The following is a 25,198-nucleotide window of genomic DNA, read 5'->3' on the forward strand; positions in this document are numbered from 1 at the left end:
TTTTTAGTTTCCACATGAGTGAGAACATGTGGTGATTAACTTTCTGTTCCTGGCTTATTTCATTTAATATAATGTCTTCCAGTTCCATCCATATTGCTGTGAATGAGTGGATTTTATTTATGTATTTTCTTTTTTTTTTTTTTTTTTTAAGTAGAGATGGGGTTTCACCATGTTGGCCAGTCTGATCTTGAACTCCTGACTTCAAGTGATCCATTCCTCTCAGCCTGCCAAAGGGCTGGGATTACAGGCATCAGTCACCATACTCAGCCCAGATTTTATTTTTTATGACTGAGGAGTATTCCACTGTGTATGTATACCATATTTTCTTTATCCATTCCTCTGTTATTAGATGTCCCGTTTGTCTAACCCATATCTAGGCTGTTTGAATAGCAGTAAACATGGGGATGCAGATGTGCCTTCAACAGAATGATTTCCTTTCCTCTGGATAAATTCCTAGTAGTGGAATGCTGGATCATATGGTAATTCTGTTTGTAGTTATTTGAGGAAACTCTGTACTGTTCTGTCTTGTGGCTGTACTAGTTTGTATTCCCACCAATAAAGTGTAAGTGTTCCCTTTTCTCCTGTCCTTGTCAGCACTTGTTACTTTTTAAATTGAATTGTTTATCTTTTTCCCCGTTTGCCCATTTGCCCATTTTTAATTGGATTGTTTATCTTTTTCCTGTTGAGATGTTTGAGTTACTTGTATATTCTGGATATTGGCCATTCTTTTTGATAATAGCCGTTTTAACTGGGGTTAGAGTTGTGGTTTTGATTTGCATTTCCCTGATGATTAGTGCTGTTGAGCTTTATTTATTTATTTAGACAGAATCTTGCTCTGTTGCCCAGGCTGGAATGCTGTGGCCTGATCACTGTCCACTCTAAGCTCAACCTCCTGGGCTTAGGCAATCCTCCTACCTCAACTTCCTGAGTAGCTGGGACTACAGATGTGTGCCAATGGGCCCAGCTAATTTTTAAGAGTTTTTTGGAGAGATTGGGTCTCGCTATGTTGCCCAGGCTTGTCTCAAATTCCTGGCCTTCAGCGATCTTTCAGCATCAGCCTCCCAAAGTGCTGGGACTACAGGTGTGAGCCACCATGCTCTGCCCTTCTTTGTTTTTGTTTTGTGAAAGAGACAGGATCTCCTTGTCACCCAGGCCAGAATGCAGTAGTGCGATCCTAACTCATTATAACCTTGAACTCCTGGCCTCAAGGTATCCTCCCACCTTGGCCTCCCGAACGCTGGGATTACAGGCATGAGCCCCTGGTAATAGCACCTGGCCTATTTCATTTGTTTTTTGGCCATTTTTCTTCTTTTGAGAAATGTGTCTGTTCAGATCATTTGCCCATTTTTTAATTGGATTTGTTTTGCTGTTGAGATGTTTGAGTTACTTGTATATTCTGTATATTAATCCCCTGTTGGATGAGTAGTTTGCAAATATTTTCTCACTTTCTGTAGCTCGTCTCTTCATGATGTTAATGGGTTCTTTTGCTGTGCAGTAGCTTTTTAGTTTAATATAATCCCATTTGTTTATTTTTGCTTTTGATGCCTGTGTTTTTGAGGTTTTACCCATAAAATATTTTCCCAGACCAGTGTCCTAAAATGTTTCCCCTATGTTTTCTTACAGTGGTTTTTATCATTTCAAATCTTTTTTTTTTGAGACGGAGTCTTGCTCTGTCGCTCAGGCTGGAGTGCAGTGGCACGATCTCGGCTCACTGCAACCTCCGCCTCCCAGGTTCAAGCAATTCTCCTGCCTCAGCCTCCCGAGTAGCTGGGATTACAGGCGTGCACCACCACGCCCGGCTAATTTTTGTATTTTTAGTGGAGACGGGGTTTCACCATGTTGGTCAGGCTGGTCTCGAGTTCCTGACCTCATGATCCTCCTGCCTCCGCCTCCCAAAGTGCTGGGATTACAGGCGTGAGCGTGAGCCACCACGCCTGGCTAAGGATTTATAATAGATTTAAAGCATTCTGATGGGCAAAGAACCAGGGAAAGGAAAGTCAAAGGCAGTACTGTCCAATATGACATGTAATTTTAAACTTTCTAGTTGCCACATTAAAAAAGTAAAAATAATCGTGTGAAATCAGTTTTGTTTTTTCAATTGAGACAAGGTCTCACCACGTTGCCCAGGCTGGTCTCAAGCTACTTGGGCTCAAGCAATCCTCCCACAGTGCTGGGATTACAGGTGTGAGCCACCGTGCCTGGCCAAAATCAGTTTTAATATATTTCTTTAATCTAATATATCCCTAACAGTATCACCATGTTGGTCAAGCTGGTCTCGAACTCTTGACCTGGTGATCCGCCCGCCTTGGCCTCGCAAAGTACTGGGATTACAGGCGTGAGACACCATGCCCGGCTCTCATTTCGAATCTTACACTTAGGTCTTTGATTTCTTTTGAGTTGATTTTTGTATAGGGTGAGTGTTGGGCGTCTGCTTTTATTCTTCTGCATATGGATATCCATTTTTCCCAGCACCATTTATTGAAGAGACTGTCTTTTTCCCAATGAGTGTTTTTGGCACTTTTGTGAGAAATCCGCTGGCTGTAGATAGGTAGATTAATTTCTGGGTTCTCTGTTTTGTTCCATTAGTGTATGTATCTGTTTTTAATGCTGCACCATGCTGTTTTGGTTACTACAGCCTTGTAGTATATTTTCAGGTGTTGTATTGTGATACCTCCAACTTTTTGCTCAGGGTTGCTTTGGTTATTCGGGGGCTTTTGTGGTTCTGTACAAATTTTAGGATTTGTTTTTCCGTGAAGAATGTCATTGGTATTTTGATAGGGATTGCATTGGATCTGTAGATTGCTTTGTGTAGTATTTCTGGCACTTTCTCATCTTGCCTGACTGAAACTCTGTACTTTAGAGCAACTCCCTATTTCCCTCTCCCTTCAGCTCCTGGCAACCACCAGTCTACCATTTTACTTTCTGTCTCTATGAGTTTGATTATTTAAGATACCTCATGTAAGTGGAATTATGCAGTACTTGTTGTTTTATGATTGGCGTATTTCACTTAGCATAAAGTCCCCATGGTTCATCCATTTTGTAGCATATGACAGGATTTCTTTTTTTTTTTTTTTTTTTTTTTGAGATGGAGTCTCACTCTGTCACCCAGGCAGGCTGGAGTGCAGTGGCGCGATCTGGGCTCACTGCAACCCCCGCCTCCCAGGTTCAAGTGATTCTTCTGCCTCAGCCTCCTAAGTAGCTGGGATTACAGGCATGAGCCACCACGCCTAATTTTTGTATTTTTGGTAGAGACGGGGTTTCACTACGTTGGTCAGCCTGGTCTTGAACTCCTGACCTCAGGTGATCCTCCCGCCTCGGCCTCCCAAAGTGCTGGGATTACAGGTGTGAGCCATCATGCCAGGTCCAGGATTTCTTTAGGGCTGAATAATATCCAGTTGTGTATATGTACCACATTTGTTGATCCATTTATCTGTTGAGAGACACAAGTTAATTACACGTTTTGGCTATTGTAGTGAATAGTGCTGCAGTGGACAAGAGTATGTAAATATCTCTTCGAGATCCTGTTTTCAATTTTTTTAGATATATACTGAGAAGTGGGATTTCTGGATCATCTGGTATTCCATTTTAAATTTTTTGAGGAACGTCCATACTGTTTTTCATAGTGATTGTACTGTTTTATAGTCCCACCAACAATGCACAGGAGTTCTAATTCCTCCACATCCTTGCCAACACTTGGTTTTCTGTTTTTTTGTTTTTTGTTTTTTTTTGATAGAGGTAATTTTAACTGGTGTGAGGTGATACCTCAGTGTGATTTGATGTGAGTTTTGCCGATGATTAGTGATGTTGAGTAGCTTTTCATATTTTTTTTGGCCATTTATGTATCTTCTTTGTAAAAATGTCTATTCAAGTCCTTAGCTCATTTTAAAGTTGTGTTATTTGTGGTTTTTGTTTTGTTACTGAGTTGTAGGAGTTTTTTTTTTATTCTGGATATTAAACCCCTATCCAATACATGATTTGCAAATATTTTCTCTCATTCTGTAGGTTGCCTTTTCACTCTTCCTTGGTTTCATTCTGGTTTTGGTTGATTGCTTGCCTTGCTGCACAGAAGTTTGTAAGTTTGATGTAATTCTGTGTCTATTTTTGCCTTTGTTGCCTGTGCTTTTTGTTTTGCAGCCAAGAAATCATTGCCAAATTCAGTATCATGAAGCTTCTCTATGTTTCCTTCTAGTTTTATGGTTTCAGGTCTTATGTTTAGGTCTTTAATCAATTTTTAGTTATTTTTTATTTATGGTTTAAGATAAGGATCCATCTTCATTCTGTTGCATGTGGACATCCAGTTTTTCCAGCACTATTTGTTGAAGAGATTATTCTTTCCCCATTGCGTAGTCTTGGCTCATCATTTGACCACATACACAGGGGTTTATATCTGGGCTGTCTGTTCTGTTCCATTGGTTTACATGTCTGTATGCTAGTACTATTTTGATCACTGTAGCTTTGTAACAAGTTTTGAAATCAGAAAGTGTGAAGCCTACAGTTTTGTTCTTAATCAAGGTTGTTTTGGCTATTTGGGGTCCTTTGAGATTACTTACTGATTTCAGGATGGCTTTTTCTCATTTTGCAAAAAATGACACTGAAATTTGATAGAGATTGCATTGAATCAGTAGATTACTTTGGATAGTATGTACATTTTAACAATATAAGGTCTTCCAGTCCTTGAACATGAGATGTCTTTCCCATTTGTGTGTTTAATTTTTTCCTCAGTTTTTTGTCATTTTTAGTGTACAAGTCTTTTGCCTCCTTGACGTTTATTTTTAAGTATTTTATTTTAGTTTTACTTTATTTTTTTAGAAACGGGATCTCGTTCTGTCACCCAGGTTGGAGTGCAGTGGCGTGATCATGGCTCACTGCCACCTCCCACTGCTGGGCTCAAGAGATCCTCCTGCCTCAGCCTTCCGCGTAGCTGGGACTACAGGCCTGCATCACCATGACCAGCTAACTTTTAAATTTTTTGTACAGATGGGGTCTTGCCATCTTGCCCAAGCTGGTCTCGAAGTGCTGGAATTACAGGTGTGAGCCACTGTGCTGGCCTTATTCTTAAGTATTATTCATTTTGATGTTATTATAAATGGAGTTATTTTCTTAATTTCCTTTTTGTGTTGTTTATTGTTAATGTATAGAAATGCAACTTATTTTTGTGTGTTGACTTTGTATCCTCCTGCTTTGCTTAGTTTATTATAATAGTTCTAACAGTTTTTTTGTGAAACCCTTAGGGTTTTTCATGTATAAAATCATGTCTTCTGTGAATGGAGATAATTTTACTTCTTCCTTTCCAATTTGGATGCCTTTTTTTCTTGCCTCCTTTTTCTGATTGTACTGTGTTGAGTAGAAGTGGTGAGAGTGGACTTCCTAGTCTTGTTCCTGATCTTAGAGGGAAAGCTTTCAGTTTTTCACCATTGTAATGTTTGCTGTGGACTTTTTATGTATGGTCTTTATTATGTTCAGGTAATTTCCTTCTATTCCTTCCTAGTTTGTTGAGTGTTTTTATCATGAAAGGTGTTGAATTTTGTCAGATGCTTTTTCTGCACCAGTTCAGATTGTTACATGATTTTTGTCCTTCATTCGGTTAATGTGGTGTATTACATTTACTGATTTTTGTGTGTTGAGCCATCCTTGCATCCTAGGAATAAGGCTCCCTCAGTCATCGTGTATGATTTTAATATGCCTTTGAATTTGGTTTGGTAACATTTTTTGAGAATATGTGCATCAAAGTTTAGAAGTGTTTCTTCAGTTTTTTTGGTGAGACTTTGAGGAGGTTTGGTATTAATTTTTCTCTAAACGTTTGGTAGAATTCCCCAGTGAAGCTATCTGGTCCTGGGCTTTTTTTGTTGTTGGGAAGTTTTTAAAATTACTGAGTCAGTTTCCTTACTAGTTATAGGTTTGTTAAGATTTTCTGTTTCTTCGTGATTCAGTCCTGGCAGGTTGTGTGTTTCTAATAATTCATCCATTTCTTCTAGGTTGTCTAAATTGTTGGCATGTGATCGTTCATAGTAGTCTCTTATCCTTTTCATTTCTGTGGCATTTGTTGTAATGTCCCCTCTTTCATTTCTGATTTTAATTATTTGAGTCTTGTTTTTTTTTCTTAAATCTGGCTAAGGATTTGTCAATTTTATTGATCTTATTTAAGATCTTTTTAAATGTAGGCATTTACTGCTATAAACTTCCCTCTTAGCACGGCTTTTCTGTATCCCTTAAGTTTTGGAATGTTCTGTTTTCTTCTTCATTTGTCTCAAGATGTTTTCTAAACTGCCTTGTGATTTCTTCTTTGAGTCATTAGTTTTTCAAAAGTGTGTTAAATATTTGTGAATTTTTTAGTTTTCCTACTGCTTTTGATTTCCCATTGTGGTCAGAAAAGATACTTGCTATGATTTCAGTCTTCTTAAATTTGCTAAGACTTGTTCTGTGGCCTAACATGTGATCTGTCTTGGAGAATGTTGCATGTGTACTTGAGAAAATGTGTATTCAGCTAGTGTTGGGTGTAGTGTTTTTTTGTTTGTTTGTTTTTGAGATGGAGTTTCCGCTCTTGTTGCCCAGGCTGCAGTGCAGTGGTGGGAACTCAGCCCACCGCAATCTGCGCCTCCTGGGTTCAAGTGATTCTCCTGCCTCACCTTCCCGAGTAGCTGGGATTATAGGCATGTGCCACCACATCTAGCTAATTTTGTATTTTTAGTAGAGACAGGGTTTCTCCAATTTGGTCAGGCTGGTCCCGAACTCCTGACCTCAGGTGATCTGCCCACTTGGCCTCCCAAAGCTGGGATTATAGGCGTGAGCCACTGCGCCCGGCCGGGTATAGTGTTCTTTATGTGTCCGTTAGTTCCAGTTACTCTCCAGTGTTCAAATTCTGTGTCTCCTCATTGATCCGCTCTCCGGTGGTTCTGTCCATTATTGAAAGTGGGGATACTGAAATCTCCTGCTGTTACTGGGTTACTGTCTGTTTTTTCTTTCAATTCTGTCAGTGTTTGCCTTGTTATATTTGGGTGCTCTGGTTCTGCACTTGCACCTTTACAGCTGCGCTTGGCTGGAGAATTAACTTGGCTGATTGGCCTTACCACTAATTACCACTAAGTTCAGGAGAGTCCTTAAAACTGCACAGCAGTAGTTCCTAGTTCATTTATTCTCCCAGTGTGACCTAAATGATCATTTAGACCTGCTCCTTCTCAATCCTTCAACGTCACTTTCACCGTCTTTAGCACACAACTTTGCTTTTCATTTTGTTGAGAAAACAGATACCACAAGAAAAATATCTGCAAAGCTCCTGCCACTACTGCCTGTGTCTGTGCTTCATGTATTCTCACATCCCTCAATTATTACGGAATGAACTGACCATGCTTCTAGCCAGGGCCAAAACCTGCACTGTGCTCACTCAGCCCTTGCCTCTACACTCTGCAGGGTCATTCTCCTCCACAACAACATACTGTTGTTTCTCTCATCTTAAAACACAACAAAACTTCTCTGAACTCCATTTTTCCTTCTAACCGTTGTTCATTTCCCACCCCGACCCCTTTTTTCCCTAAAAGAAGTATCTGCACTTTGTTTCCAATTTTTCTCCTCCTGATATTTCAGGAGGCTTTCCCTCCCAGCACCCTGTTTCTTGCACTGCTCTTGCGAGGTCAGCTCTGACCCTACCTTTCTCATCCTTGAATTATTTGACCTAGTAACAGTATTTGACACTGGTGATTACTTATTTCCTGCTCGTTGAAACACTTTGTTCACTTGGCTTCCAGGATAGCATACAAAGAAATTCCCCATCTCAGTCTTTTGTCACAGAGTCCCTCCAGGGCTCAGTCCTTAGACCTCTGTTTTAACTATGCTCATTTCCTTGTTGATCTTATTTGACCCACTGGCTTTGAAACCCTCTTTGTTTTAAAGTTTGACGGAAGTCCAAATTTTAAATCTCCAGCCTGAGCCGCTTCTTTGAAATGCAGACTTATGTTCCACCTGGATGTCTAATAGGCAAATGAAATGCAGCTTTCTCTAAAGGGAACTTATTCTTCCTCCAGTAACTTAATGGGCCATGCTTAGAATGGCTCTTTTTGTCCAAGAAAATTCAAAACCAAAACCAAATCTATTTTCTTCTGCTTTAACATCAGTCTACAGATTATTTTTGGTCTAAAGCATGAGATAGGGCTTTTTATTTATTTTTAATCAGGCGGCTAGCTAGTTTCTTAACAGTATTGAATAATATATTTTTAATTGTTTGAATTGTCATCTTTATTGTTCTGAGAATAATATCAAGGATTTAAGTGAAATTGCCATCTAATGTTTGCATTATAGATTTCATGCCCCTTTAAAACATGTGTTATATCAATTGAGAGCACACTCTTATAAAGTACAATCAATGATAATCAATGGATTTTTTAAAAAAGAACTAAATAAGTTGCATAAGAGCACAGAAACAAACTTTAAATTTAGCATTTAATAGACCAGGAACAACACACCAGTAAAGAAAGGGGTCACTAATTACTGTTTGGATACTTGGATTTTAGTTTGAAAAATAAGTAAAATTTACATAGTAAAAAGCAATAAAGTAAATTTAACACGGAAAGTAACAATGGAGTATGAAATATATGACCAAACTAATGGAAGTTTCTGTCTAAAATAAAAGATCTATTTGTAGGGTAAGTAATTAGATTGGGAGTAAAAGGCAGAAATAGTAAAATCATCACATGCACAAATGCTGTCTGTATTTAATCCCAGTTAAAGACATGGGAAATAAGATAACCCTAAGGCTATAATGCTCACCTATTAAACTGACAGAAGTATGTAATATGAGGAAATAGCATGTCTTGTTTGGTCAGTGTATTAGTCGATTCTCACATTGATACAAAGAAATACCAAAGACTGGGTAGTTTATAAAGAAAAGAGAATTAATGGACTCACAGTAATGCAGGCTATACAGGAGGCATGGCTGGAGAGGCCTCAGGAAACTTACAATCATGGCAGAAGGGGAAGAGGAAGCAGGCCTATCTTCACATGACAGCAGGAGAGACAGCAAAGAGGGGAATGCCACATGCTTCCAGATCTCTTGAGAACTCACTATCATGAGTACAGCAAGGGGGAAATCTGCCCCCCCCCATAATCCAATCATCTCCCAGCAGGCCCCACCTCTAACACTCAGGATCACAGTTCAACATGAGATTTGGGTGGGAACACAGAGCCAAGCCATGTCAGTCAGTATCATAAATTGGTTCAACCATAGAGGAAGAGAATTTGACTAAATACATATTTTAGGGAAAAGGGAAGTACTGTGGGCTCAGCGGTTTGATCTTAAAATTTCTATGCAGTGATGGCATACTATATTCCTAATCTAACTAGGGTTTGTTTCAAGGGAATTAGGGATAAGGTGAGTAAGCTAGTAAACCCAAGGCAAAATTTCTTAATGCTTTTTAAAATTTAAAAAAGAGGCCCATTCCGTTAGAGCATACATTGAATCAAATGTTTCATGTAAAACAGGATGGAAATGAACTTTTCTATTTGGCTAAGTGGTGTAGGCAGAAAAACCTATAGGCTTTCTCTTTTCATCAACTTCATGCTGAGTCCTGTCTCATTTTATTATTTACACAATTGAAATATAAAAAATTGTTCCCAAATGATGCCCCCCATACCCTAAGTTTAGGGGGCAGTAGTGTAAAGCAGTGTCCAGACATTGGTCTTAGGGCTGGAGTGGAAACAGACTCCTAGAGGTGCACAAGCACATGGATAATTTTACCTGAATCAATTTCCAAATCCTAAACTTTAAATGTCTCTTTTTTGAAGCATTTCTTCCTTTGAACCAGTGTTCAAGCGGTTCTTCCCTTTTTATTTTTTGATGTGGAGTTTGGCTCTTGTCACCCAGGTTGGAGTTGCAATAGTGTGATCTCGGCTCACTGTAACCTCCGCCTCCTGGGTTCACGCGACTCTCCTGCTTCAGCCTCCTGAGTAGCTGGGATTACAGGTGCCTGCACCATGCCCGGCTTATTTTTGTATTTTTAGTAGAGATAGGGTTTCATCATATTGGCCAGGCTGGTCTCGAACTCCTGACCTTAGGCGATTCACCCACCTCAGTCTCCCAAAGTGCTGGGATTACAGTTGTGAGCCACTGCGCCCAGTTCTGTTTTCAAATTCCTTTCCACCATGGCTTTTTCCATTATTAAAAAAAATGGCATAACTCTTCCTCTGACCCTTCTCTTACCATGATGCACTTGCCTTGTAGTGGGAAAACCTCAGGGATGAAAAGGGTGTCAGGACAATTCTAAGACACCAATGGAATAGTGCTGGAAGAATTAGATATTCAGTTGCAAAAGAATGCAATTAGACCTTTACCTCATACCATAAACAAAAATCAACTCAAAATGAATCAAAAACCTAAATGTAAGAGCTAAAACCATAAAAATCTTAGAAGAAAACATAGGTATAAATCTTGGTGACCTTGGATTAGGCAGTGATTTCTTCAATATGACAACAAAGCACAAGCAATCAGAAAAAAGTAGATAAATTAAACTTTATCAAAATTAAAAACCTGTGTGCATAAAAGGACGCTGTCGAGTGAGAAAACAAGCCATAGAATGGGAGAAAATACTGTAAAATATATTTGATAAGCAGCTTGTGTCTAGAATACATAAAGAACACATAACTGGCTGGGCGCCGTGGCTCACACCTGTAATTCCAGCACTTTGGGAGACTGAGGTGGGCGGATCACTTGAGGTCAGGAGTTCGAGACCAGCCTGGCCAACATGGTGAAACGCCATCTCTGCTAGAAATACAAAAATTAGCTGGGTGTGATGGTGGGCACCTATAATCCCAGCTGCTTGGGAGGCTGAGGTAGGAGAATTGCTTGAACCTGGAAGGCAGAGGTTGCAGTGAGCCAAAATCATGCCACTGCACTCCATCCTGGGTGACAGAGTGAAAACTCTGTCTTAGAAAAAAAAAACAAACAAACACGTAACTAACTTAGAAAACCAAAAATCTAATTTAAAAACAGGCAAAGGATTCAGATAGACATTACTCCAAAGAAGATGTACAAATGGCTACATAAGCTCATGAAAATAATGTCGTTAGTCATTAGAAATATAAATCAAAGGCTGGGCACGGTGGCTCACGCCTGTAATCCTAGCACTTTGGGAGGCCGAGGAGGGCAGATCATGAGGTCAGGAGATCGAGACCATCCTGGCTAACACAGCGAAACCCCGTCTCCACTAAAAATACAAAAAATTAGCCGGGCGTGGTGGCAGGTTCCTGTAGTCCCAGCTACTCAAGAGGCTGAAGCAGGAGAATGGCGTGAACCCAGGAGGCAGAGCTTGCAGTGAGCCGAGATCTTGCCACTGCCACTGCACTCCAGCCTGGACGACAGAGCGAGACTCTGTCTCCAAAAAAAAAAAAAAAAAAAAAAAAAAATATATATATATATATATATATATATATATATATATATATATATATATCAAAACCACAATGAGATTCTGCTTCTTACCCACTAGGATGTCTATAATCAAAAAGATAGATAATAACAAATGCTGGTAAGGATATGGAGAAATGGGAACCTCCAGACACTATTTGTGGGAATATAAAATCGTGCAGCTGGTCTGGAAACAGATTAGCAGTTCCTCAAAAAGCTAAATGTTGAGTTTCCATATGATCCAGCAGTTCCACTCCTAGATATATATCCAAAAGCATTAAAAACATGTTCACACAAAAATTTGTGCATGAAAGTTTACAGCAGCATTATTCATAATAGGAGGAAACAACCCAAATGTCCAACCGATAAATAGATAAACAAAATGTGGTCTGTCTAGGCAATGGAATATTACTCACCCATGAAAAGAAATGAAGTACTCACTCATTTTACAACATAGATGAATTTTGAAAACATTAATGCAGGTTGAAAGAAGTCAGTCACAAAATATCGTATGTTGTATTATTCTTATTTTTATGAAAGGTCCGGAAAAGGTAAGTCCACAGAGAAAGTAGATTAGTGATAAAAATGTACTGGAATTAGTGTTGATGGTTGCACAACTTTGTGAATATGCCGATAGCTACTGAACTGCACACTTTAAAAGAGTGAATTTTATTATACGTCAATTATATCTCCAAAGAATGGAATAAAGCCTCAGGGGCCCCCAAAGTGGTGATTCCAAATATTGGTTTTAGTGTTAAGAAAATGAATGGCCATAGCCTTTGGAGAACAAATCCTTTCATGGTTTTTCAGTTTTCCACTTCTAACAAAATTGAAGGATCAATTCCAATATTTACAAATAATAAATGTGTTAGCTACTAAATCATTTAAAATATTTCTGGTGGAAAACAACTATGTAATTTTCAACAGATAACTCAGAAGAAATTTTAAAAGTCATGTGACCCAACTGACAGAATTCCTTTTATTTCCATCACCTGTTTATATGAGCAAGCCTTCTCAGTGCTTGCTTTTTTTTTTTTTTTGAGACAAAGTCTCGCTCTGTTTCCCAGGCTGGAGTGCAGTGGTGCGATCTCGGCTCACTGCAAGCTCCGCCTCCTGGGTTCAAGCAATTCTTCTGCCTCAGCCTCTTGAGTAGCTGGGACTACAGGCACGTGCCACCATGCCTGGCTAATTTTTTGTATTTTTAGTAGAGACGGGGTTTCACCATGTTGGCCAGGCTGGTCTCAATCTCCTCACCTCGTGATGTCCCCGCCTCGGCCTCCCAAAGTGCTGGGATTACAGGCGTGAGCCACCGCACCCAGCCCTCAGTGCTTTCTTGAAACACACGCACAGAAAAGTAGAAATTCACTAAGTGATGTCTGATTTTAGCAATAATTATTCAAAGAGATACATGAACTAATGAAGAAAAAAAAAAAGCCCTGTCCATCTCATTAAGAGACGTACATTTCCAGTAATTTTTCTTTCCTTCTTTACTTCCTTCCTCCCTCCCTCCCTCCCTCCCTCCCTTCCTTCCTTCCTTCCTTCCCTCCCTCCCTCCCTCTTGCTCTGTTGCCCAGGCTGGAGTGCAGTGGTGCACTATTTTGGCTCACTGCAACCTCTGCCCCTGGGTTCAAGCATTTCTCCCATGTCAGCCTTCCCGAGTAGCTGGGACTACAGATGTGTGCCACCATGCCTGGCTTTTTTTTTTTTGCTAGAGATGGGGGTTTCACCACGTTGGCCAGGCTGGTCTCAAACTCCTGACCTCAAGTGATCGCCTGCTTTGGCCTCCCGGAAGTGCTGGGATTATAGGCGTGAGCCACTGTTCCCAGCCTCCAGTAGAATTTTTACCTTTAATGTTGTTAATTACTGTCAGATCTTTTTTTTTTTTTTTTTTTTTTTTAGATGGACTCTTACTCTGTTGCTAGGCTGGAGTGCTGTGGCATGATCTCTGCTCACTGCAACCTCCAACTCCCTGGTTCAAGCAATTCTCCTACCTCAGCCTCCCGAGTAGCTGGGATTACGGGCACACGCCACCATGCCTAGCTAATTTTTGTATTTTTAGTAGAGATGGGTTTCACCATGTTAGCCAGGATGGTCTTGATCTCCTGACATTGTGGTCCGCTTGCCTCAGCTTCCCAGAGTGCTGGGATTACAGGCATGAGCCAGCATGCCTGGCCTACTGTCAGATCTTTAATGTTTGCCATTTAAATGAATTGCATACTGCTAAAAATTATAATGGTAATTGAATTCAAAATAATTTTTTAAACACTTAGAAGCTTCTTTATGGTCAGGAAATTTAAAATGTTTTTCATTTAAACATCAGACAGGCTGGGTGCAGTGGCTCAAACCTGTAATCCCATCACTTTGGGAGGCCAAGGCAGGAGGATTGCTTGAGTCCAGGAGTTTGAAACCAACCAGGGCAACATAGGGAGAATCTGTCTCTATAAAACAAACAAACAAACAGAACTTCAGACATGTATGACTGAGTGACTAATAAGACTTCCAAGCATTAGCAATTACTATATGCAGGGCAAATGTACTGGAAATATGAATTCAAGGAGGAAAATATGCTGTGAAAATTTCACTTTAAAATGGATCATGATGGGTATCAGATCACAATTGTATTTGGATTCTGTTGAAGAGATTTAAGGTTGATATTACAGTGACCTTGCTAAATTATATTGCTGTTCTGTGCTCTGTTTCCCTATATATAAATGGGATAATAATAGCACCTATATCAAGGAGTAATTTATTATTATGTCTAGTGCAGCTTCTTGGCAAATACTCTGTTCAGTGATTCACATTCTGTTTAATAGCCCACTGCTTTGTTTCTTTCTGGTAAGTCTTCTGCCTTAATGCAGTCTTCTCTAGCTACTATGTGTCCTTTTTTCATCCTCCTGATCTATACCCCCCCCCACCCCCCGCCACCCCACACACACATGGTGGTGTGGACAAGGCAAAAAAGAAAGTTAGCTGGATTTATGTTTCGGAATTTCAGGGCTTTGTATTTACAGTTGACTTGTTAGGAGAAGAGGAAGAAGAATTAAAAAGTATAGCATTGGGCCAGAATATCATTAAGCAGTAAGATCACATTGAGTTGTATAGGGAAGGGTACCTGTATTTTTATTTCATCTGTACTGGAGACAGGATTTCTGATGACACGCTTGCTCACTGACAGTTTTTTTTTTTTTTTGAGATGGAGTTTCGCTGTTGTTGCCCAGGCTGGAGTGCAATGGCGTGATCTCGGCTCTCTGCAACCTCTGCCTCCCGGATTCAAGCGATTCTCCTGTCTCAGCCTCCCGAGTAGCTGGGATTACAGGTGCATGCCACCACGCCTAGCTAATTTTTGTATTTTTAGTAGAGACAGGGTTTCATCATATTGATCAGGCTGGTCTCAGGTGATCTGCCTGCCTCGGCCTCCCAAAGTGCTGGGATTACAGGTGAGCCACTGCGCCAGGCCTGACAGATAGTTTTTTTAGATGGTGTAAGACAGTGTCAATTATGTAGTGTAGTTGGTATATTTTCTGTTGTTACTGTAACAAATTACCATACTTTTAGTGGTTTATAGAGCACAAATTTATTATCTTATGGTTCTGCAGGTCAGAAGTCCAACACAGGTCTCACTAGGCTAAGATGCAGGTGTCTACAGGGCCGTGTTCCTTTCGGGAAGTTCTAAGGAAGTATGGATTCTGTGCCTCTTACAGCCTCTAGAGGCTGGCTGCATTCCTGGATCAGGCTCCCCTTCCTGTTCACCTTCACAGTCAGCAAGGTGACATGGCTCTGACCTCCTGTCATCTCTTTCCCACCGTACTTGGGAGAAGTTCTCTGCTTTTAAGGACCATGTGAGTAGATTGGTCCCAACAAGCTCATCCAGGATAATCGCCCCATCTCAGGTTTTGGACCCTTAGTCACACATCTGCAAAGTCCCTTTTGCCATTTAAATAACATATTCATAGGTTACAGGGATTAGGATGTGAATGTCTGCAGGGGCCATTATCCTGCTACCACAGTTGGTTTTTAGTCAGCTACATAATTTTGAACTGTTAATTTTATCTATTTTTTTTTTATGACAGTTGTGGTTAGAGGTGAGGCTTGGATTGGTCCTGGCCTGAATCTTGTTCTGCTGTGTAGCAGCACTGTGACGTTAGGCAAGTTTCTTCTCTGTACTTGTTTCTTCTTTGGTGAAATCAAGATAGTAATGCTTGTCTGTATGTACTGAAATAAAGTAATAGTTTAGGGTTCTAGATGGGAGGCAAGAGATTTCTACCAATCTTTTTGTGTCTGTCTCAAATAAGCAAATATGTGATCACCTAACTCACAAGGTTGTTGTGAAGATCAAATTAAGTCATCAAGTTAGAGTGCCTTTTGAAATGTATAAAAAGTATATAACATTTTGTTGGTATTAATTTTAGAATGGCTTTTAAGATTTTTGTCAAAGGTGAGAACGTTCAGTACATTCTTTGATACCTGCCTAGCAACTATTTTTAGGTTTCTATTCCTTTCCAGATTTTCAGATTCACATATTTCCTTTATTAAATTATGGTAAATGAAAAGATAATATGAGAATTAAAAGTAATGACTTCTGTGATTCGTATAGTCACTAGGATTTAAAATTCAAATTTATCTATATCTATATCTATAGATATAGATATATAGATATAGATATAGTTTTTTTTTTTTAGATAGAGAGTTTCGCTCTTGTTTCCCAGGATGGAGTGCAATGGTGCCATCTTGACTCACCGCACACTCCACCTCCTTGGTTCAAGCAGTTCTCCTGCCTCAGCCTCCCGAGTAGCTGGGATTACAGGCATGCACCACCACAACTAGCTAATTTTGTATTTTTAGTAGAGATGGGGTTTCTCCATGTTGGTCAGGCTGGTCTTGAACTCCCGACCTCAGGTGATCTGCCTGCTTCTGCCTCCCAAAGTGCTGGGATTATAGGGGTGAGCCACCACTCCTGGCCTATCTAGATAATTTTTAATCTTTATTTTTTTTTTTCTGTAGACTTATTTGGAGCTATACTATATGTGTTGTAGAAGCAAAATAAATACTAAGTCTACCTTGCATTAGTAAGACTGATTTTTCTTAAATCCTGAGCTACATTTAAAATCTTGGTTAGTAGACATTTTACTCAGATAGTGATTCATTTATAATTGGCTTGTCTAAGTACTCAGTGTTTGACAAAAATATCACTATGTTAAGCAAAAACCATATTTAAAAAGTGATTTGTTTTTTTTTTTTCCTAACGCTGTAACAGTGAATAGATCTTTTTCCCCTAAGCAGCACAAAGATGCCATTTTGGGAGGTTAAATTACTTTCTAAAAGTTGCTGTGAAGGAGAGAAGGAAAAGAGATCAGGTTACACATTCTTTGTTCCTGAGCCTACCACTGCACACGTTCAGAGAAGCAATAGTGAGGCTAGAGTATGCATTTGCCACTATGTCTTCAACCCTTCCCCATAGTAGGGAGGGAGGGAATTAGGCAGTTTTCCTAACAGGGCCCCGAAGAGTACCATTTTAACTTAAATACTCTTAAAAGTTGCTACTTATTTTTTTTAAGGCTTTCTTTACTTTTTTATAATTTAGCATTTCAAGTAATCCAAATAGTTATTTCTTTGTATATTCAGAGGTATTTAAAAATATTTTCTTTGAGAGCTTAAAGGTTATAGTTTAATAATGCAGTTAAACATCAATTTATCTCAAATTGATATTGAGTTAAATTTAAAGAGTATTTTAAATTATATTTTGAGGGGAAAAAAATAACTTTCTTGGCACAAAATGGCCATGAATTAGATTGTGTGTTTCAGAAAGGTAGTGGTAAAAAGTCCCCAAAGCAGTTACAATATTTCTTTTGTTCTGTTTCCTTGCTACTCTTAGATAAATGAAGAGTTTGAAAAGAATTTTCACATAAAAACGTCATAAAATCCCAGTGCCATATTCTGAATATTAATTTGACTGTTTTATGTCGTATTTTTTTCCCAGTTGGTTTTAGTTAGAATATATGCTTTTTTTTAAGCCTTTAAGGAATTAAACAATTTTGGTTATTAAAGTTTAAATGTATTTCATAAATATGTATTTATAAATATGTGACTGGTCCCTTTTCTGAGGGGTTAGGAAGTTTAAGCATTATTTGTAAGCTATTTGTAAATCCCTGTCAAACATTATTTGTCCATTAAGAAATACTATTTTTTTCTTCACTTTTAGGTCATTTTAAGTATTAATAATGTTCATCAATTTACTTACTACCCTTCTGAAGAAAGTCACTATAATTAGTAATCAGAATTATATCACATAAATTTAGGCACATTTATTTATTTATTTATTTATTTATTTATTTATTTATTTTTAGTATTTTGAGAGTAGGTGCTGTATTTTCTTTTCTTTCCTTGTTTCTTCTTTTTTGTTTTTTGAGACAGAATCTCTCTCTGTTGCCCAGGCTGGAGTACAGTGGCATGATCTCAGTTCACTGCAACTTCCCCCTCCTAGGCTCTAGCAGTGCTTCCACCTCAGCCTCCCAAGTAGCTGGGACCAGCTCACGCTACCACTCCAGCTAATTTTTGTATTTTTTGTAGAGACAGGGTTTTGCCATGTCACCGAGACTGAGTTACTGTATTTTCTTAGCAGAATATTGTCCCAGTGAGCTTTTTCCAAAAGAGAAAAGGTACAGCCAATAAAAGTTTGTGGTTGGGTATTGGGAGTTGGTGTTGTTCTGTTTTGTCCTGTTCATAAAAGTTTTATTCTCTTTAGCTCTCATGCTTTAGTTCTAATTTATTCACAGATTTTTGCCCAGTAACTTGATTTTATACTTGGCTTTCTATATTGTGGCTCCAATTTTTCTTCCCAGTTTATACTCTTATTTTTCCTTTCTTTTTCTTTTCTTTTCTTTTTTTTTTTTTTTTGAGACAGTCTTGCTCTGTCGCCCAGGCTGGAGTGCAGTGGCGCGATCTCTGCTCACTGCAGCCTCCGCCTCCCAAGTTCAAGCAATTCTCCTGCCTCAGCCTCCAGAGCAGCTGGGATTACAGGCGCCTGCCACCAAGCCCGGCTAATTTTTTTTTTTTTTTTTGAGACGGAGTCTTGCTCTGTTGTCTGGGCTGGAGTGTAGTGGCCCAATCTCGGTTCACTGCAACCTCCACCTCCTGGGTTCAAGTGATTCTCCTGCCTCAGCCTCCTGAGTAGCTGGGATTACAGGCGCCCACCACTATGTCCAGCTAATTTTTTGTATTTTTAGTAGAGATGGGGTTTCGCAGTGTTGGTTGGGCTGGTCTTGGAACTCCTGGCCTCGTGATTCGCCCACTTCGGCCTCCCTGAGTGTTGGGATTACAGGCATGAACTACTGCGCCCAGCCAATTTTTGTATTTTTAGTAGAGACGAGGTTTCACCACGTTGGCCAGCCTGGTCTTGAACTCCTGACCTCAAGTGATCCGCCCACCTCAGCCTCCCAAAGTGCTGGGGATTACAGGCGTGAGCCACCGTGCCCGGCCAGAATTTGAACTTTAATTCTTCAAATTGTATAGCATTTTCAGGTACCATCGAGGGCTTTTCTTCTGTACTTCTGTGTGTTCAAATATGGACCTTGTTCCAAAAAGGTCCAAAAAGGTTGAGTTGTGGTTCCCTGTAATGTCAAGAAATCTGTTAATGCATGAGACCCGGAAGATGTTTGAAAGTGACTAGTGAGAATTGGGTTGGTTGCTGTAGGATATTGTCATTTAAATTATTAAGTGAATATATTTATATATTTAAAAATTAGATGTAGGTAAGCCTCAGAAATGGGAAAATGGAGATAAATCTTAGGAGAGATTTTTGAATCTTTTACTTAAGACTGTGTTCAAAACTTTGTCTATTTGCTATTTATTATTTTGATATATTAATTGCTAGTGAGATTAAGACATTTTTGACACATCCTCTTCATTTAAGGTCATGGATGTTTTGTATCATTCTTATATAAGCATATTTGTAAGACTTTTAGAGGTATTCCTTTTTTAGTCCTATTTTTTTTTACTAGGGAATTATGACTCATTTTGGCACTTAGCTTTTGTAGCTTACTACCGTATGACATTTTATATCTTTGCAAAAACCAAGTAATTAGACCATTCATCACAATTTCCATACTTAAAAAACTAATACTAAGTTTTTACATGTTATCAATAAAAGTAGCATTTTAACAATTATCCTTTCCACATTATTTGATAAATGCTATTGGTTTTGTCTGTTATTTTTATAAATATATAATTTGCTTTAATTACTTAAATGTTCCTTGAGCCTTAGAACTTAAATCCTGATGAGGGTTTTACTTTTTAAAATACTGAAGTTTATTATTTATGCATGTTTTACAGAAAAATGAGTGGCTTTTAAAAGATCAAAATTAAAGGCTTAAACATGGAATCTCTAGGACATATAAAATATGAGTAGAACTGTGTATTTATAAGATGTTAATGTAAGACTTCAGGCCTTGTAATATCTTAAAGGAACCACTTCACTGTAAGGGAGCAGTTTGTCTTTCTACCTTTCCAATTGTATTGAGATTTTGCCCAGTATGTCTTTTTACTTAAACACCTTGGTGAAAGCTATCCAGCATCCTGTTTTAAATCTCCTTTGTTGCACTTACCATAATTACTTTCAGATCTGTTTCCATTCTCAGAAACTGAAACTGTAAGCTCATGTGAGTGGGGAATCCGACTTGTTTTATTGCATGTGAGCTGAGCACTGTGCCTTGTGTCAGTAGTCAGTGGTGTTCCTTTAGTCCTTGTTATGTTAATAAAAAAGCTTTGGTTTTTGCAAGACTTTGTTTTTAGAGATTCTGGAAAGGAACATATTAACCAAAAAGAAGAGCTGACTTCAATTTTACTTGTCTTGAAAATAACTGACTACTAAAGGGATGTCAGGGAACATTAGTGAAAATGGAGAACTTAAGGAGTTAAAGTTTTAGCTGTTTTTTTCAAAGGATATTGTCCTTCAAAATCTTTACCTTGCATTTTTGTTACTGTGATTTAAGATGGTTGTAATTATCATTGATTGATGATACCTATCAAAAGGCAACCCTAACCAACCATTTCTGCTGGATTCTGAATGCCGAGAAAGAAAAACTGAGAAATTTGTGAACTATTACAAGTCGTCTGTAAAATGAGATAATAATATCAACTTCACAAGGTAATTTAGGCTTTCGTGAAAACTAGAGTGTGAAAATGCTTAGTAATGTGCTGGGCACACTGCAGGTGCTCTACAAATAACTACTGATAACTACTTTTTTTCATGAGTAATTGTACATTTTCTTTCTTCCTTCCTTTCTTCCTTCCTTCCTTCCTTCCTTCCTTCCTTCCTTCCTTTCTTTTCTTTTCTTTTCTTTTCTTTCTTTTCTTTCTTTCTTTTTTTGTTTTCTTTTGTTTTGAGACAAGATCTTGCTCTGTTGCCCAAGCTGGAGTGAAGTGGTGTGATCTTGGATCACTGCAACCTCTGCCTCTTGGGCTCAAGTGATCCTCCCTCCTTATCCTCCTGAGTAGCTGGGACAACAGGCGCACATCGTCACACCCAGCTAATTTTTGTATTTTTGTAGAGATGGGGCTTCACTTGGTGTTGAATTCCTGGGCTCAAGCGATCCACCCACTTCGACCTCCCAGCGTGCTGTGATTACAAGAGTAATTGTAAATTTAAAATGAATTTCTTTCCCATCCCAAACCAGTATCAAAATGCAAATATAGTAAATTACTTTTTAAAAGAGAGATGTTTAATGGCAGTTGTTGGTAGTCTTTTGAGTCTTTAAGTGGGTATATTATAGAAAAACAACATATCTCTGCTTGGAGGGAAGATTTAACTAAAAACAAGAAAAAGAATAGTAGATGAACCATGATTCTTTAACATACAGGTTGCAAACTAGTGACCTGTCAGTTGGATTTGGCCTGTAGGCATGTTTTTGGCTTATAATGTAATTTTTTAAAAATTAGTGGCCAACAATTAAAAATTGGGAGAGTTTTCAAAAGAAAATGCAGATTTCTGACTCATCTTGAAAAATGGTAAGATGGGCAGCACAGGGCCTGTATTCCCAATTGCAGCCCTCAGTGGAGCTAAGTAGGCTGTTCTCCCTGCCATCTGCCCGGCTCTCAGTTGCCATCACTCACTGCATTTGGACTCTTTCTTCATATAGTGAGCCGAGGGGGGAGTGATAGTCTCATGTTCCTATCAAAAGAGGGAAACCTAAAATAAGGCCATTTTTGTTTTTGTTTTTGTTTTGTGAGACGGAGTTTCGCTCTTGTTGCCCAGGCTGGAGTGCAATGTGAAATCGGCTCACCGCAACCTCCGCCTCCCAGGTTCAAGCGATTCTTCTGCCTCAGTCTCCCAAGTAGCTGGGATTACAGGCTTCCGCCACCATGCCCAGCTAATTTTTGTATTTTTTAGTAGAGACGGGATTTCACCATGTTGGCCAGGTTGGTCTTGAACTCCTGAGCTCAAGTGATCCACCCGCCTCGGCCTCCCAAAGTGCTGGGATTACAGGCATGAGCCACCACACCTGGCCAGGCGATTTGTGTTTTAAGAAAAACAAGAAAGCATGTAATTCTTTGCGAAAATAATGAACATTTCTATTTATATCTGTCAAAAGTCCTGTTTCTTAGGAGTTAAGACATAATTCATAGCAATTAATATATGTGGAGAAGATACGTAATGAAAAACTAACTAGAAGAGGAATTCAGACATTGAAAGGGATTATTTTAAAGTGAGAATAAAATTAGTAGTGCCGCTGTGAGGAAAATAATCTTCACGTACTTACGTATGATGAGAAACTTCCTAAGTGTCTAGAGATGGCAAGAAACTTTGTATGTTTTGCATGACAGTAATTGTAAATATGAGCTTATCTGGAAATATTGTTTGCATAGATGTTAAAAATATGGGCAGGACAATGTGTACTAAAATGCTGAATTCTAGTGAGGCTGACATAAGCTTATTTTTTAAATTCTTTAATTTTTGTTTTTATATATTTTTTGAGACAGGGTCTCATTCTGTCACCCAGGCTGGAGTGCAGTGGTGCTATCACGGGCTCACTGGAGCCTTGACCTCCCCACGCTCAGGTGATCCTCCCACCTCAGCCTCCTGAGTAGTTGGTGGCGTGCGCCACCATGCCCAACTGATAGTTTGTATTTTTTGTAAAGATGAGGTTTCACTGTGTTGCTCAGGCTGGTCTTGAACTCCTGGGCCCACTCAAGCCATCCACCCACCTTGGTCTCTGAAAGTTCTGGGATTACGGGTGTGAGCCACTGTGCCCAGCCTGATAGAAGCTTAGAGATTAATATCACCTAGTTAGCTCTGTTTGTGTATGGTATCTGTGTGAATTTTGACTGTTTCTCCCCTCTCTTCTTTAGTCATTACCCCTGTTTTTGGTTCATTCCTATCAGTAAACAATCTCTGGTAGAGACTTGGTAAGAAAACTCAACCATTCCCTTAAAAAAAGTCAGCCTCTACCCCTTCCTTAGCCAGATGCTTCAGGGATGGTCTGCTTGCAACACTTCCTGTCCTTCACCTTCTTTCAACTGTTTAACCTGCCTTATTCTTTTTTTTGTGAGACGGAGTCTTGCTCTGTCTCCCAGGCTGGAGTGCAGTGGCGCATGTTGGCTCACTGCAAGCTCTGCCTCCCGGGTTCACGCCATTCTCCTGCCTCAGACTCCCGAGTAGCTTGGACTACAGGCACCCGCCACCATGCCCGGCTAATTTTTTGTACTTTTTTAGTAGAGACGGAGTTTCATCATGTTAGCCAGGATGGTCTCGATCTCCTGACCTTGTGATCTGCCCCCCTCCGCCTTCCAAAGTGCTGGGATTACAGGTGTGAGCCACCGCCCCCCACCCTTGCCTGATTCTTATTCTCTTGTCCACCACAGTTTGCATTCCTCAGGCCATTTTTGTCTGCGTCGTTGAGGGCCTCCATTGTCCAGCCCCATCTCCTTTACTCTCTCAGTAGCATTTGGCACAGCTGGCTCTCCTGTGCCAAACTCTTAGCCGCTGTGACACAACTCTGCATATAGCCTTCCACCTCTTTCAGCACAGTCCAGATGGTGGTGAGGGACGCTCCAGATCAGGGCTGAGGATGGTGTCTTGTTGGCTTCTGCCCTTACCCTGAATCCCTTAAGCCCTGTGTACAGTGAGTATCATAATTCTGGCCTTATATACTGTACCCTACATTTTGGGCTAATTTATGAAAGGATAAAAAATAGGACTTGGAAAGTAAAAATAACCCATGTTAAAGAATCTGAACTACATTAGTACTTTTTGCCTCTATACTGCACATACAAATGCTTGAATGACTATGATGTAAAGGAAAGGGAGAAGAAACTAAAAATTTGACGTGGGATGTCACATTCAAATAAGCAGTTTTTTCCCCTTTAGAACATTTGCTTATAACCTAGGTCATTTAACCAGTTGAGGTTCAAGTAGCTCTCAGATCAGCTGGTGCAAGCTTGAGGGAGAAAAAAAAAAAACCATCCTTACAGATACTTCTCATTCATTAACCTCGAATGTTAGCTTTAATCAGTTTAGGAATTTGTATGCATTTTAGTAACTCAACACCAACTTGTCAGAAGTTAGCTGAATTTTAGATAATTTCTTTCATTCCAGCCAAAAATAATAATCACAGACATGTTTAAAAAAAAAAAAGGAGTTAATTGGGAGGCTGAGGCAGGAGGATTGCTTGAGCCCAGGAGTTGGAGACCTGCGTGGACAACGTAGTGAGACTCCATGTCTCCAAAAAAGACAAAGATTAGCCAGGCATTGTGATACATGGCTGTGGCCCTATCTAGGGATCTGCACTCTAGCCTGGGCGACAGAGCAAGACCCGGTCTCAAAAAAAAAAAAAAAAAAAAGACCCTAAGCCTTTTTTTACTGCATATATTCCTATCCATTCTAGGAAAAGTCAGTTGTCAAATCAAAGTGAAAAATTGTTTTCTTTAAAGTGAAGTCAGATGGGTAGAATAAAATATACTGATGTTACTGCCATAGTCACAATTCTAAAGCACAACATAATTGTAATAATGTCACAAGCTTACCAAGGTTGCTACATGAAACAGAAGAAAATTAAATTTGGTGTTATTTATTTTTATAAAGAGACAGCATCTCACTTTGTTGCCCAGGCTGATCTCAAACTCCTGGCTTCAAGCAGTCCTTGGCTTCCACAGTGTTGGAATTCCAGGCATGAGCCACCCTGCCTGGCCATTATTATCTTTAATAACAATTTACATCAGCCACATTTTTCTTTATGGTTTTTACTTTTGATGTCAAACTTAGACATTTTTTTCCCCATTACAGTAGTGTTTTCCAGTTCTTTTATAGTTTTACATTTTATATTTGAACGTTTTATTTATCTGGAATTAGTTTTGTTGCATAACGTAAGGATCCGACTTAATTTTTTCCCAAATCGTTGGCAAATTCTTTCACCACTCTTTATTGATTTGAGATGTTACTTTTATTATATTCTCATATATATTTGGATCTACTTTTGGTCTTTTGTGACCTATCTCTTGACAGTGGAATCACACTGTTTATATCAGTATAGCTTTGGGTACATTTTAATACTTGGTAAAGCAAATTTTTCTGACTTTTTCAAAAGTCGAGGATATTTGTTTATTTTTCCAACTGTCTTTAGAAATGTTTTATCTGATTCTACTGAAAAGTCTGCTAATATTCATTGACTGATTGATTTGATTTGGAGAGGACTACCATCTTTACAGTATATAGTTTACTAATTAATAAATTCGCGTTTCATCTTTCACAAGTCTTCTTTTTTGACTTTCAGTAAAGTTTTGTAGTTTTTCTCATGTGTTATATTTTTGGGTGCT

At 39.2% G+C, this 25,198-nt stretch overlaps 1 protein-coding gene across 35 annotated transcripts in view, besides 1 other annotated feature; it reads left to right on the forward strand.

The window, feature by feature from the left end:
• BMPR1A (bone morphogenetic protein receptor type 1A) overlaps positions 1-25,198 on the forward strand; it is a 177,082-nt gene that overhangs the window by 23,036 nt on the left and 128,848 nt on the right. For 4 of the 35 annotated variants that reach the window (NM_001406577.1, NM_001406572.1, NM_001406582.1 and 1 more), the window contains exon 2: positions 14,586-14,829. The exons of 30 other annotated variants lie outside the window; for them this stretch is intronic. The gene's annotated coding sequence lies outside the window, so the exon portion shown is untranslated. Of the gene's footprint in view, positions 1-14,585; positions 14,830-20,379; positions 20,535-25,198 lie in introns of all 35 variants that reach the window. One more of the 35 variants, NM_001406565.1, reaches the window with a different exon arrangement.
• Positions 14,219-14,945: an enhancer, noted in NCBI's record as "H3K27ac hESC enhancer chr10:88552774-88553500 (GRCh37/hg19 assembly coordinates)". NCBI's record gives its function as "activates a minimal SCP1, AML or CMV promoter by ChIP-STARR-seq in naive H9 embryonic stem cells {active_cell/tissue: H9 hESC(naive)}" and the evidence as "EXISTENCE:reporter gene assay evidence [ECO:0000049][PMID:30033119]".

This window comes from Homo sapiens, chromosome 10 (assembly GCF_000001405.40).
Source record: "Homo sapiens chromosome 10, GRCh38.p14 Primary Assembly".
Lineage (NCBI taxonomy): Eukaryota > Metazoa > Chordata > Mammalia > Primates > Hominidae > Homo > Homo sapiens.